The following is a 15,690-nucleotide window of genomic DNA, read 5'->3' as shown; positions in this document are numbered from 1 at the left end:
ATCTGCTGCTAGCTGTAACCCTCTAGTATATTTACTCTTTTCCACTGTCTGAGATGGCCCTGTTTCTTTCCTCCTCTCTTCTCAAACCTCGACATTCTTCACTTTCAGCAAATGTAGGGCTTTTCATTTCACAGCGAGAATAGCTTCAATCAGATATCCACTTTGTCATCCTTATCCTCCTAGTGTCCCAATTCTCCTTTCACCTGCTTCCATTGATTCACTGCCTGCCTCTTCAGTGGATGAACTCTCTGTGCTTCCAGCTATGGCCAGCCCTTCCCTCATGCCCTGGATCTACTCCCTTGCCCCGCTCAAATATCTGGCTCTGCAAGCTTTCCCTCTATCCCCTGCATCATCAACTTTCCCCTCGATTGGATTATTCCCACCAGCATACAAGCATCCTGAAATAAAGCAAATAAAACCTGCTGTTTATTTGACTCCTCATCTGTTTCCAGTTATTGCCCCTTTGCTCTGGCATCCTCTATAGCAACTCCTCAAGCACTGTTTATCCCTGCTGTCTCTACTTTCTCGCCTCTCTCTCAAGCTCACCCCAATCAGGCTTGTATCCCCTTTAGTCCACCAAACCTGCTCTTGGCAGAGTTCACCAATGACCTCAGTATTGACGAATCCAATAGCCAATTCTCAGTCTTTTATTTAAAAGCCACATTTCAAATAGTCTTCTCTTAATGTTAATGTCAGATTCTGTCTTGGGCATTTTATCTCAGCAATGTTTTCTATATACTTTGCTCAGCTCCTAGAAAGGTGACCCTAGACTATAAACTGCCTGAGAGCACGGATTACTTTTAATCCTCTGCTCTAGTGTAGTGCTATCACCTCAATGCCTTGACCTGAGCAAAACACATGAGAAGAGCTGAATAAATATGAATGAATGAATGAATGAATGAATGAATATACAGCACAATACAGTCTCAGGTCTGAGGTGAATATGGGCTCATGTATGGTTGAGTCTCATTATTCACAATTGTTATGCTCTATAAAGTCTCCACAAATAATGAATTAGTGGATATTGAGCCACAGCTACTAGAAGAAATACAGGGTTAGATTCCTATGAGCCTCTGTTCACAACATTTATATCAACCAATTAACATATAACCTTGTTTTATGTCTGTTTCTGTGTAAAGACCCCTTATTTAATACATATTGTTGATTCATTTCTATTGAACTCATGGTTATCATAAGGCACATTACAGCCTTCTGATGCTTAGAAATACTAGAAAACACTTTGGCATTATACTTGGGAGCCATTCTAAATGGAGAAATCATCAACAAAAGGCACAAAAATGCAAAAAACATGGCACTGAATAGACTGTGCATAGGATGCTTGTTTGGAGTATGAGAGCCGCAACAAGAAGGCAGAGTATCACCAGGTTTGACTTCAGCTGGGGATGTGTGTGTTAAGTGACTCAAATGTTTTGTGACTCTGCTGTGCATGTCAGTGAATGACTATGAAAGCACCATGTTGATTTGGGGGTTACAAATAAATTTTAGTGAGTAGGAGAATTCACAAATAAGGAATCAACAAATAATGAGGATTGACTATATTTTCCTACCTTTCTGGGGCATGTGCAGTGCAGGCCAAAGGCTTCTCTCCTGGGTCAACCCATGGCTGTGTGGGCTGCACTGTGCAAGGGATCAGGTAGATGGTGTACTCTCCTGAGTAGTCCTTCCTGGAAACATGCAGAGCAGACTGTGATCGTAGGGAACAACTGATAGGTTGCTGGCTTACCCAGAAAGACATGGCCTTCACTAAACAGTTTTCAGGTGGTATTTGTGTCCAGCATCTAAGAACTTTACAAGTCTGCAAACACCATTTTCGGGAACTCATCTTCAATTATCCTAACCTTCAGAGTATTATCCAGAGGTGTTAAATAGAGCTACTTTCATGTATTCAGGTATTCAGGTCCTTCCTATGAGGAAAGCTAAGAAAGGCAGACTACATATGAAAACATAGAAGGCTCAGGTGATGACAGAACAGAATTGGCCATTTCCTTTGGATTTCATGAGACTTGTTTGACAATTTCTGTTTAGTGTTTCTTGATGACAGATACCCTATTCAATGCATTCCCAAATGGAAAAGCAGCTTTTATTTCTGAAGATGTGATAGTGTCAGGTGCTGCTGTGACACAGGAGGTAGCAAATGCCTCAGGATTCCAGGACACCACTCCAGAGCATATGGAAGCAGCACCCTGCAGAAAGTCCCTGCACCCGTTTCACTCACACTCAATTTTGAGGTTCCCCTTTCAAACTCCATAGCCTCATCCCTTTATAAAGTCGAAGAACAAGATCACTTCTCATTAGAGACCACTCACGGGGACTTGGGGACTTCCCTGTTTATGGGGGGCCCAGGATTCTCCAGTTCATGACTCTGTGAGCAGGAAGCCTTTGGACCTCTCTCCTATTTCGTCTCCCACACTTCTCACTGGGTGGCAGCTCCAACCCTGTCAGGTGGCCTGGAAGGCAGCCAAGCATTCAGAAGCTTCAGGAACCTTCTTCAAGGGCCTTGGGAGTCTGTCATCCATTGAATGGAGAGCACAGGACTATGAATCTTCATTATAACTGTTTGTGAGGGATCTGTGAACAGTTCTCATAAATGCTGTGCTTGTTTTGACCATTTTGGGATACTTATCTATTTATCAGTAAATTGACAGCAAAGATTTGGTTAAAAACAATAATAAAACTTTTATGTCACATCCTGGGGTCAGTGTAGTGGACTGGCACAGGCTGAAAACTGGGAACCAGTAGAACCTCAGCTTGCCTCTGCCATGGCTGCATGACTTTAACAAAGCATGAGGACTTTCAGGGCCGTTGTTTCTAAGCTCCTTCCCGTTCTAAAAGTCTGTATGTCTGCAGTTTTCCTTCAAAGCTTGGATCAGCAGGAAATGAGACTTTGTATACCATATTTAAATTACATGGAAAATGACACCTATAATGTGGATAGTAACCCTTCATTAATAGAAATATTCAAATAGGCAGAACAATCCATGCCTGGCTAGATTGTGACTAGCTCTATTCAAACCCTGTAGGGGCTCTCCTTGCACTACAGAGTAGAAGCCAGAGGCTGCACACTGGTTTACAAGGCCCCATCCCATGGCCCTACTCCCACTCCTTACTTCTTCAGCATTATTGTCTACTACTCTCTTCCCTGCTCACTCCATGCCAGCCATATGGGCCTCCTTGTTGTTCTCCAAGCATGCCCAAATGTTGCCATCTTAGGAACTTTACCAGGAACCCTGTTTCCCATGTTTCTGCATAGCCAACTCCCTCACCTCCTTCAAGTCTTTGCTCAGATAAGGTCTACTGGGAACATTCTAATTAAAATTATAATGTCTCCCCATTTCTGTCTCCCCTTACCCTGCTCCATACCATTCATTTTCCCATAGCGCTTATCACCTTCTGACATTTGTTATACTTTGCTTATTAGGTCTACTGTTTTGTGTCTCCTTACTTTAAGTCCTATACTTAGGGATCTTTATTTTGTTTACCAATATATTCAAGGTGCCCAGAACCTTCTCTGACAAACAGTAAACATTCCATAAATACTTGTTGAACAAATGAATGCAAGACAAATAGCATAGCCTCCCAAGCCTTCGGTCCTACTTTTCTCTATTCCTAAATACTACTTAGGTCCATTTCCTCATGATCCCTTCAAACATGTCAAACACAGTCTTAGGCACCTGTCTTTAATCTTGCAGTTCTTTTAATCTCCTTGCTAGAATCTAAGCATTTCCCATATCACAACATGGACCATAAGTTGTCTCACCTCTTTCAGGAATCCTTATACAACTCCCCAGCCTCTGGCTCTCTCTTCCCTGAACAACTACGGTCTTGATATTATCCTGTATCTCTCACAGTGTGTTTAGCATGGAGTGCTTGGTGGGGTTCTTCATTTTGCCATTTATCTATGTATTTTATCTCCTCACCTCAAAGGTAAGCTCCTAAAAGATACTTGCTCAGAACCTATCACATGCTAAAACCTGTGGTTCTGGGGATTTAAGATGAATCATATGTGCCTTCTACTCTGGAGAAGCTCACAATCTAGTGAAAAACTGGGACCAGCAGATAGACCATCATAAGATAATGAGCTGTGTTACAGCAGAAGCTGGAACAGAGTAGGAACCAGGAGGAGGGAGCTGCTAGTACTGTATGGGAAGTCTGGGAAGCTGTCACAAAGGGGTCAGTATTTGAGCTGGGCTGGGTCTCAGAGGAGTTAGTTTTGCAAGGGGAAAAGAGCAGCAAGGGCTGAGGGAATTGCAAAAGCATGGAGGTATGGATGGGCTGGTGGGTTCAGGGATTGGTGAGTAACTAACGTGGATAAAAGGCTGGGTTTCACGTGAAACCAGAGGGGAGGCTGGGCCTTGTATGCTGCATAAGGAGGGTGGGCTTCATCCAAGTGGCAATGAAGATGTCAGCAGAATACTTAAAGGAAGACAGTTTCCCTGTCTATAAACTGGGACAAAGAACATGAAGCACAGTCCTTGAAGGTTATTAGATATCAATTTCAAAGGAATCACTATACAATAAAAATATCTGATATAAGATCAAAAATTTTAAGTTAAGAAAAAATTTTTTTTGAAAATGATTCTCAAGACAATTTGAAGTAAGATTTTAATGCTAAATATAGCTCTTACTCTCATTACCTATAAAATGGGGATCATATATTTATGACAGATTCCTGGTTGCCCACTTATCCTTTTCATAGTGGTTTTAATTTTTTTTTCCATTCTTCCCTTTTACAGATGGGGGATATTTTACTATAGTTGTTAAATTCCTATTCTACCTCTATATTGGGTCTGGGAGAGGAATAAATCTTGTAAACGACACATGGGCTTAATCAGAGGTACTATATTTTGCACTGGTTGTTGTAATTGAAATGAAATTTCTTTATTCAATAAAGGTTTTAGTTAGACACATTTCCCAGCTTCCCTTGTAGGCAGGTGTGCCATGTGACTAAGTTCCCCACCATAGGTTGTAGGTGAAAGTGATGTGTGCCCCTTCTGGTCTCACCCTTGCAATAAGTGTAAGCACTTCCTATTTATATATCAGAAGTTGATCTGAGCAAGATTTGTTTCTTTCTTTCTTTGCTAGAATGTCATTTCTTTTAATTATTATTATTATTTTTTAAGAGTCAGGATCTCTTTCTGTTGCCCAGGCTGGAGTGCAGTGGCTATTTGCAGGTGGCATCATGGCTAACTGCAGCTTCGCACTCCTGAGTTCAAGTGATCCTCCTGAGTAGCTGGGCTACCAGCTAGCACCACTACTCCCAGCTGAGGGTTATTTCTATCAATTCCCCTTTTAAAATAAAAGTCTAGCCTTCAGAGGAAAGCACTATTTCCCAAGCTCCTGAAAGAAATGGAAAACCATTCAGCTCTACCCATGGAGGCCTCCATCACTGTATTTACCTGTTATAAGAGCTTGTGGCTCTCCAGAGTTGATGTGGAGAATCAAAAGTCTGAGCGCTCCATAATAGCTGCAAGTCAAATTCAATTCCTCCTAGGTGGTCTGGAGTCAATACGAAAGATTTCACTTCTGGGAGAGTGTGATGCTCCATCACAAACTGTCCTATTTGAAGGGGAAACACATGCATTTAATGTACTTGTGGTAGAGCTTTAGTTTGACTGTACCTGGTAGAGCCCCACAAAAGCCTGAGAACTGAATTAATGTTCTTCTCTCAAACAACTAAGCTTAGCCCATTTTGCCCCTTAGAATATATTCCACACTGGATAGAATGGCATCTCACCCTAGCCCATCGTCCTACTTGTGATGGTCATCATAGTCATAGGTATTTATTTATAAACAATAGGAATATTCCTTGTGGAAATGGTGCTAATGAGTATATTCACAATAATAGGGGTCTTTATGTGACAATGAACACTGAATATACATAGCTTTGAATTCTAACGAACATGTTTCTTGGAGGTAGAAAGGTCTCAGTAGTTTATAAATGGAAATATCAGCATCAGATAAAAGTCACATTTAGGGCCATTGAAGTCCTTGGTAGAAGGGTATAATTATAAACATCATTAAAAGGGTAAATGTTATCAGCAAGATACCCCCACTCTTTAAAACTGCACTGAAATAGCGTTGTGAATAAATAAAAGTAGGGGGAATATTTTAGATTAAAAGAAACTAAAGCAATATAACAATCAAAATGTAACATATGAATCATAACTGGAACTTCTTTCTTTTTATGTAAGCAGTTATAAAATAAACAAATATAAAAATAAGTGGAAAAGACGTTTGTGGAACAATAAAGGAAATATGAATAGAGACTGGATATTATTGAATCAATGCTAAATATCGTAGAAGTGATCATGATGTTGTGATTCTATAAGAGAATGTCCTTGTTCTTAGGAGATGTCAACTGAAGTATTTTGGGTAACTTGACACGAAGTCTGCAACTTGTTTCTGAACGGTGTGACAAAAAAAGATATGTATGGATGGATGTATGTGCACATGGATGTATAGCAAAATGTTAATCATTGTTGACTGTTTTTTACTGTTCTATTCTTTCAACTTTCTGTATGTGTGAAATGTTTCTTAATAAAAAGTTGGAAAAAAAAAACGGCATTGATATTACCTCTGAATTTGGCATGGGTCTTGAATTCAATGACAAGACGGCCATCCTCTCGAATGTAGATTCTTATTATCTGAAGCCTTGCAGAGAGCACGCTGTCTGTCTGGATTCCTGGGCAGGAAAGCAGAGAGAAAATGCTAGGGCATGGAAAATTCCTCCCTGACAGCAACCACATATAAGTTATCCCAAGGACACCTCCAAGTATAGCTGCACATTTATTTGAATGTAACAAGATAACATTTATATGTCTATAGAAACATATGCCAATTAAAATTGTATGACAGCTAATTTCACTTGGTTCTTTTTTTTTTTGTAATGGTTCCACTGTTCTTGACATAGACTTTTCAAACCTGTAAGTTCCACTTAACCCAGATGCAGGGTTCAGCAAAAAAATGAATCTTAAAACTTCTTACTATCAAACTTTACACCAGGGTATGGTTACAGCACATCTGCTTCTTATTATACTTTCTTTTCCTCGCCAAGATACCTTTCCGGACTTAACAGAGGTATAAACAAAGTCCTGGTGGCTACATTTAGTACTCAAACCAAAGGAGAATTAAAGCCAGCTTGTAGAAAGCCAACATGACACAAGAAAGCTGTGGCTTTAATAAAGGAAATTGTAGTCATGGTCCCCAGTGAGTTCAGAAAGAACAAAACCAAAGAGTAACGTAAGGATTAGAAACATGAACTTGAACAAAACAAAACAAAAACAAGAGCTCAAGGAATTATCTGACCCAGAGTGGGAAAGCTGCCTGAAGTTATTTTCCCATGAGAAATATAAAGCCAAAAATGATTTGAGCCTAAGACATTTCACAGAAGAAAGGACTACACTGCCAGCCCTTTGTATCTGTAGGTTCTACATCATGGATTCTGCATCTGTGGATTCACCCAACCTCAAATAGAAAATATAAGAATAAAAATGCATCTGCACTAAACATATAGATTTTTTTGTCATTATTTCCTAAACAATATAGCATAACAACTATTTATATAGCATATGCATTGTATTAGGTTTATAAATAATCTAGAGATGATTTAAAGCATAAGGGAGTATATGTATAGGTTATATGTAAATACTACACCATTTTATATGAGGGACTTGAGCATCCTCAGATCTTGGTGTCTGTGGGAGGTCCTGGAACCAAACACTAATAGATATGAATGATGACTGTAATTTCAATTAGTAGAGATGAAGCTTTCTCAAAAGAAAACTCTTGTATTTTTTTTAGTATGTTTGCCCCAGATAAAGCACCTCACCCCTGAAGAGGAAAACAGGGAGGATGGGAGCAGCAGAATTTAGGGGAAATGGGTTTGGGGAAATAGGTTAGGGGTAGTGTGTGAAGTACAGGACACTAAAAATGAGGAAAAAAAAAAAAACAAGAAAAACAAAAATAACCAAGAACGATTGGAGAGAACGGAGGAGAAAATTGGGGAGTTTTAAGGAGCATCTATGTGGAAGCAGTAGGAGGAGGTAGGTGTGGAAACTGAGTGGGGGTGAGGTGTGGAAACTGAGTGGGGGTGAGGTGTGGGCTCCCAGCTGAAGGGCTGCCTCCCACTTAGTTCTTGGAGGCTCCTCCCAAAGAGGACAGTAATGGGGATGAGCCTGAGGGAAAGGTCATTTTAAACATTCAGTATCACAGCCCTTGACTTCGGAAGGTTAAAATCCCTTCTTTGGAGGATGCAATTAAAGAGCAGACTCTTTGCCAAATGAATAAAGTGGGCTACTTGACATAAATATTTCAAGTGCTCTTGACACATTTTTCCATTTCCTTGCATCTGATTTGAAGATCCTTTTGCTCTGTAAAAACAAGAACCACACAATTTTTCACTAGGAGAAAATGAAAATCATTTGGGTTATATTCCAAAAGAACACACACCCATCTGAATCCCTAACGGGCAGTAGAGGACTCATTTGTCACTTGCCATCCTCTACGCTGGGACCTTAGCTATCTGGGCTGAGACCTTCCAGCATCAGGACAGAAGGACATCATTCTTTTCAGGAACCACAGATCTGCACTTTGAGGTGGCCCCACTTTGTCTTCGGGATAACAGGATGAGAAATGCAGCTACTGTTAAAAGTCACTACTCTTCTTTTAATCTTGCTTGAGTGAAGCCCTAACTAAAGGGATAGTTAAGGCGTCAGTGGGCATACCTGTTCTCCAGAGAACAGTGTCATAGAAGAAAGAAAACTCCATCTCGGTGTGGTGCTCCAAGGAGGCCCAGCCCCTGGGGGCTGTCACATAGATGTAGGACACATATAGAGGCACGTGCACTGTCAAGAAGGACTGGGCAGAGTCCCTCACCTGCCGAGGAAGCAGTATGCACACAGAGTTATTTCTCCCCTGGGATGAAAAGACATACTATCACCACATCTTGGTTCCATTTTCATTCACCCATGTAGTCACACACTTATTCAATAATTATTAAGCAAGTGCCCATGATTGCACTTACTTATTTAAAAAAATAAAGGAACTAATGGAATAGAAAGCAGCCGGGATGCTTCTTTCGACAGGGTCACGTGCAGAGGCTTCTCTAAGGAGGTGGCACTTGAACAAAAATACTTTTGAAGTGGGAGAATGAGCTCTGTTCAGTTGCTAGAAGATTTGGCTGAAATTTGAGAATATCACAATTATTCTCAAGGATCAACCCGGTGGATGTGGGATCTACCACTCAGTACAAACTCCCTGTATTGATCATTTGCCAGTGACCTGTGGGAGAGCCCAAGTCAACCATCATCAGGAAGATGCCCACATCCAGACGCCTGGGAGGAGCCTGTGCCTAACTCAGGATGTTTTAGTGAGTGCTCTCATCTCCTGCTCCAGGAACAAAGGGCCGGAGCATTGAAATCATATATAGGAAGCTCACCAATGGACAGCTCAGAGCTGCACGTACTTCAGTAATTTCCTGTCCCATGCTATGCTTTGGAAAGAGTTTTGAAAAGGCAGCATATCACATTTCCAAGAGAACATTTCTTCTAAGGAAGTTTGTGTTCCTGCTTTTAATTTGGCCCAATCATTTTCATTTTACTATGTAATGAACAAAACTGGATGGAAAGATAACAGAATGGTAGCAGAAGCTTTTGTGGTGAAGCTAGCTGTATATGTGTGTGTGAATGGGGAGTTAGTTCACACATTTTTAAAATATTTTTATACTTTTTTCCACAAATAAATAAATAAATAAATATATATATATATATATATATATATATATACACAACAAAAAAACTTAGCTTAAAACAATTTTATTTTATCATTGGCTAATTACTATAATATACTATGGGACTTATATTTTTCTTTTGTTTGAAAATACAGTATAAAGTGTTTCTATGGGTAATTAAGGAAAAAACCAAATGTTTTAATATTTTTCTAAAGTTTTTTTTTAATATTCAAAGTTGTCAGGGATTTAAAATTTGATGCCAACTTTCTCAAAAGACTCAACTAACTCCATACTCATTGAAAAATTCCATTTTGACATGCCTTACTTTGTTTGTTTGTTTGTTTGTTTGTTTGTTTTTCAAGAGATGGGGTCTCTCTCTGTAGCCCAGACTAGAATGCAGTGACTCCATCATAGCTCACTGCAGCTTCAACTTCCTGGCCTCCAGTGATCCTCCAGCCTCAGCCTCCCAAAGTACTGAGATTACAGGTATGAGCCACTGTTCCCAGCCCCTCTTTTTGTTCTTTTTAAAGAAAATTTCCAGATTGTATTTGGACCTTGTACCATGTTCTGTCCCTTATACACAGGTTTTGCTAAATACACCTGCTCCAATCACACTATCAGAACTTCAATAAAATCTCTAGCTGATTGGCAAAATTAATTTTTCCTCATTTGTTTTTGTTTATCCTCCTTTAGCCCTCATGATATTACTCACTAATCTTTAAAAAGAAAAAAAAACCCAACAAATATTTACTGCATGCCTATTCTACACCAGGCACACTGTGCAAGGCACCTTCTCATGTTGAGATTATTAGTACAATTTCAGAAGAGGTTCAGAGAGGTTATGTCTTGTCCAAGCCTGTTGATTGACAGCAAAAGGTACCAACTAGGCCTTAGTTCTAAGTTCTATATTCTTCCTATCATACGTCAGTAATTTCAATTATTTTCAAAGAAACAGACAACAACAAAATACTTCTGTGCATGTTTTTTCTGTGTTGGTTTAAAAGTGGGATTATATATAACAAATCCTTGTCTTTGAGTTTTTAAGCATATTCTGAATAAAAATATTCAAACAGTAATTACAGCAAAATCATAAAGAACAGAGAATACTAATTTTTGAAGGGCCAGGAAAGAAACAAAATCACTTAGTTTTGCATTTTCCAAAGTCAAAGTTTATACAACTGGAGAAATGGAAAACCGATGAACGCCTTAAAATTCTCTTCAGTAGATGGCAGTAGTGTGTACAAAATGAGAGGAAACCAGGCTGAGAGGCACCACAAAGAAAATGACAAATTTTAATCAAAGACACTTTCTCTAAATAATTACTGTAAATCCCTCTATAATTTCTCTCCTTCAGTGAGGATAAACCTGATTTGAAATGAAGAACAAACATCTAACTAGTTTTTAGCTCATTGAGATAACTGCTCAAAATTGGATAGAACCTGTTTTAGAATTAATTTTCCCATGAGGACAGATTAGCCTAGTCTCACTGGCCCTTTGATATAACCGCCCTTCTCTGACTCTGGCTTCTTGCTATAAATTTTTCAGTTGTCACTAATTGATATGGTTTGGCTCTGTGTCCCCACCCAAATCTCATCTTGAATTGTAATCCCCATAATCCCTACATGTCAAGGGAGGAACCAGATGGGAGGTGATTGGATCATGGGGGTGGTTTCCCTCATGCTGTTCTTGTGATAGTGAGTTCTCATGAGATCTGATGGTTTTATAAGGCAGTTTTCCTTGTTCTTGCTTGCTCTCTCTCACCTGCCACCATGTAAGACATGTCTGCTTCCCCTTTCACTATGATTATAAGTTTCCTGAGGCCTCTCCAGCCATGTGGAACTGTGAGTCAATTAAACCTCTTTTCTTTATAGATTACCAGTCTCTGGTTTGTCTTTATGGTAGTGTGAGAATAGACTAACACACTAATGTTTAATGGTAATATATATTTTAGAAAGTGTCTATTTTTGTGGGGGCTGGCAGTTTGGAACAGGTGTGAAATAAAAATGTTTTAAGCAATTATCTTTCCACAATGCATAGGACAACAGAGCTCTTCTTATCTTCTGAAAGACAGGCTGCATCATCTGACGCATTTTCCCAGGTGGGGAAGAGAATATATCAATGTAGTAATAACCCTAGCATCAAATGTAAATATTTTTGGCTTTCCAAAATATATGCATTATAAATACAAAAACATATATGCCTAGAGAAGTAAATATTGGATTTTTACATAAGTGAGTATGCCAGACAGTAAGTTTTTTCCACATTAACTTGATTTAGAGGACTTTGGGGGCCTTCTCTAGCTTCAGTGCTGCCAAGATCTTGCTTGAGGGACTTATAAAGAAGACTCCCTTAGTTGGTTGTCCCAGTTCTGGAGGCAAAGTGCTAATTGAAGTGCTTCAGGAACAAACAAGGTTGACCATGGCACCCATATGCAGAGTCCTCAGACAAGCCCCGGGGCACCTACCTGGAAGTCAGCGGTTACAGAGCCCCCACAGACGTCAATCAGCTCAGTCATGTCATAATAAGCATCAAAGGTCCACACGCAGCTCTTCAGGTTCAGGTGTTTGTAGAGCTGGATGGTCTTCGGCTCTCGCACGCTGGGGTCAAACTGGAAGGGGCGATCGTAGCCAGGCCCCAGGGCAGTGCTATCATAGACCACATCATCCAGGAACCCTGCCTCTGCCAGGGAGGGAAGAACAAGGAACGATAACTTGGTTTGTGGATGCCAAGGAGCAGGGTGGGGTGAAGAGCTCACCCTTTTGCACTAAAAGCACTTTCAATCACCTGAGACCCTACTAACAAAGCAACCCAGGGCTCCCAATGTGCAGGGAGAATGTGAGGGATCTTGGAAAGCGCTTGCTAACTGCTGTTGCCAGGTGTTGAATGGAGGACTCCACCTCTAAGAGACCACAGGAACCAGGGAGGAAAAGGTGAGCAAATGATACCATGAATGAAGGCGGCAGAACTTGGAAAGGAAAACTCTCTGAAGCTTTGCCTGTTATACCTGGCAAGTCTGGTCCTGTGCTTCATATATGTCCCCACCACTGCTGAAGAAATGGATTTACTGTATGGCTCATTCATTGGTGAATTATTATTTTAAGAGTGATTTTTAAAATTTCTTTTTTGAGACCCCATCTCAAAAAAAAAAAAAAAAGCCAGCATACCTACATTTGACTACTTCTTGCTCATACAGTTTCTGAACTCTTGTCGGGGGAAAGTCTTAATTTTTTGTTAGTGAGTAAATAGGTCACTAATGATGCCTGTAACTCTCACCTGTGCCAGGCAAAAATTATTTAATCAAATGCTGCCAAGCACATGAATGGCTCTAAATTAAGGGAGAACTTTATGCAGTAGGGAGCTGAACACAGACACAATTTTAGAATATGAGGGTTAAATTTTTTTTTTTTTTTGAGATGGAGTCTTACTCTGTCACCCAGACTGGAGTGCAATGGTGCGATCTCGGCTCACTGCAACCTCCGCCTCCTGGGTTCAAGCGATTCTCCTGTCTCAGCCTCCCGAGTAGCTGGGATTACAGGTGCACGTCACCACACCTGGCTAATTTTTTATGTTTTTAGTAGAGATGGGGTTTCACTGTGTTCCCCAGGCTGGTCTCAAACTCCTAAGCTCAGGCAATCCACCCGCCTCAGCCTCCCAAAGTGCTAGGATTACAGGCATGAGCCACTGCACCCGGCTGGGTTAAAATTTTTATAGTACTAAAAGCAACTGTAGTATTTTAAAAGGGTTGATAAATATCTTAGAATGCTTGAGACCCAGCACCTAGCCCTCTGCCCCATGATGACTAGGTACTCAATTAACATGTCTTGAATTTAATTGCTTTTAAGCAGGAACAGGTGCAAAGTTTAGTATTTAAACACAGTATGTCTCTTCCACTAGCTACAGATGTGGACCAATTAAACTTTCATATGTAGCTCAGTGATTTATAAATAATTTTCACTCAGCTAATTTCTACTGTATAAAGACCATCATGACCAAAAGTGATGCTTAATGAATATGAAAGAGAATATGAATGCATTTCTGTCTTCAAAAACACTGTTAAGTGTTTCATCATTTGTGAAAGGAGGAAATATGCATTTAATGTGCACTTGCTAAGGTAAATGGAAATGGACAGAATTCTTTGTAAAGTCAAATGTCTGCTGTGGTGAACACAGAGATGCGCTGCCTCAGCTGTCAGCTCCTTCAGCTCTGCGTCAGCTGCATATTGGCTCAGCCCAAGGTCATGCCCTTGCGGGGCAGCCTGCATCCAGTGACTTAGCTAGGTAGGCTATAAGGGTCTGGCTGTGTCAGCTGGAAGTAGGACAAGTCTCTCCAGAGCTCCCTGCCATGGCCGAGATGGCTTTTTCAGCCTGCATTGCAGCTTGACTTCTCCCTCTGCCCAATCCTGTTTCGCTCCTTCTCTTTCACAGATATTGATCCCTAATAAACATCTTGTAACCCCAAACTCCCTCTCAGCTCCTGCTTCTGGAGAACTCATCCTATACCATCTTCACTTCAGCTTTCTATAACAGGTTTTTGGAGCACCAATGTAAACATGCTCACTCTAAGGGAATGAAGACACTAAAATATACCATAGTAGGTGCTTTAAAAATGTCAACGCATTTAATCCTCATCTTGAGTGGTAGCAATTGTTATTCCCACTTTATAGACAACAGTGGCTCAGAAAGGTCAAACTATATTTGTTCAGTGGAATAAGGATTTGAACCAGTGTGATTCCAAAGTCCTTGTTTCTTCCTGTCCACTGCATTGACTGAACTGATGGCATTTGCATGTGTGCTAGAAGGAAAACCACTAATATGTGGATTCTGAGGACCAGAAAACATGAAAAGCAGTTCTCACTCTGGCATATCCTGAAAGTCAACTGCACTGGGCTAGCATGGAAAGACCAGTCCTGAACTTGTCAATCTCACCTGAGATGCCTCTCAGGTCATAGGTGGTAACTAAATTGGAGCAGACGTGCTGGTGTCTGTAGATGGACTCAGACAGTAGAAAATGTAAGTTGTGCAACGGCATGGTGGAGATAAGGGGCAGCATTCCATCCTGGTGTGGGATCTGCACCGAAATGTGGATTCTAGGGGGAAAAAGGCAGAAATAAATGTTTAGCTGACTGCTATAAATGGTCAATAGGACATACTTCTTTCTCATCACCTAATTTGTCTTCACCAATGAGCTACCATTTTTTTTTCTTCCTGAAGCTTTCCAGGTAGGATTTCTATCTGAACAGGGGGTATACATATACACATAGTATCATTGCTTCCCTCTAAGAGACCCTCCAGACAGAGGACTGATAGTAATCTAGAATTATAGATTTTTTTTCTATACAGGAAAAGATAACATCACAACCACAAATTACTTTAAAGCTCTCCTTTGCTTTTTAATGGAAACTCTGTTATTTCAGGAGCTAAAGCTGAGTGACTAGAGAGGGCCTGTTCCCCTGCTCTGTCACAGTGAATGTCTATGGAAGTTAGGTAAGGTTGACACTCACATTTCTTTTAAGTATTTGAGTCAAAAATATATCGTTGAGCTTTTAAACTCTAAAACCAATTCCTCTACCCAGCCAAATCTGAGAAACTACAATATCCAGCTACTTATACTGTCTCTCCTGACTGAAAACAGCCTTCTCTCTCCAGTCTGCCTGTAAGTCCTATCAGCACTACGTGTCCAGCCCCGCCAGCCTCAATCTGCAGTGTGCTGTTCCTTGATCTACATCCTCAGCTCTTAGGCAGCCTTTGGACCAGGAAATCTGTAACTTATTTATATTGGCTGCTATTTCTCAAATGTTTTCAGACTCTGTTTGTCTTGCCTCTCCACTATGAGGACAAGGAATATTTCCTTCACTTCTTTTGTTTCTCCAGGGCACATAGTATACAATTCTAAATAAGAAATGAGTTTAATAAATATTGGTTAAGACTGCAACATGATAGTAC

At 40.4% G+C, this 15,690-nt stretch overlaps 1 protein-coding gene across 1 annotated transcript in view; it reads right to left on the bottom strand.

The window, feature by feature from the left end:
• FRAS1 (Fraser extracellular matrix complex subunit 1) overlaps window positions 1-15,690 on the bottom strand; it is a 486,947-nt gene that overhangs the window by 16,044 nt on the left and 455,213 nt on the right. The window contains exons 65-70 of the mRNA NM_025074.7: window positions 14,674-14,834; window positions 12,213-12,427; window positions 8,745-8,895; window positions 6,596-6,703; window positions 5,418-5,577; window positions 1,569-1,685 (exon numbers count right to left, since the gene is read on the bottom strand). Of these exons, the coding sequence (NP_079350.5) occupies window positions 1,569-1,685; window positions 5,418-5,577; window positions 6,596-6,703; window positions 8,745-8,895; window positions 12,213-12,427; window positions 14,674-14,834 (912 nt within the window). The remainder of the gene's footprint in view (window positions 1-1,568; window positions 1,686-5,417; window positions 5,578-6,595; window positions 6,704-8,744; window positions 8,896-12,212; window positions 12,428-14,673; window positions 14,835-15,690) is intronic.

Source organism: Homo sapiens, chromosome 4 (assembly GCF_000001405.40).
Source record: "Homo sapiens chromosome 4, GRCh38.p14 Primary Assembly".
NCBI lineage: Eukaryota > Metazoa > Chordata > Mammalia > Primates > Hominidae > Homo > Homo sapiens.
The sequence above is the reverse complement of the archived record's forward strand: the minus strand, read 5'-3'. Positions and strand labels throughout refer to the sequence as shown.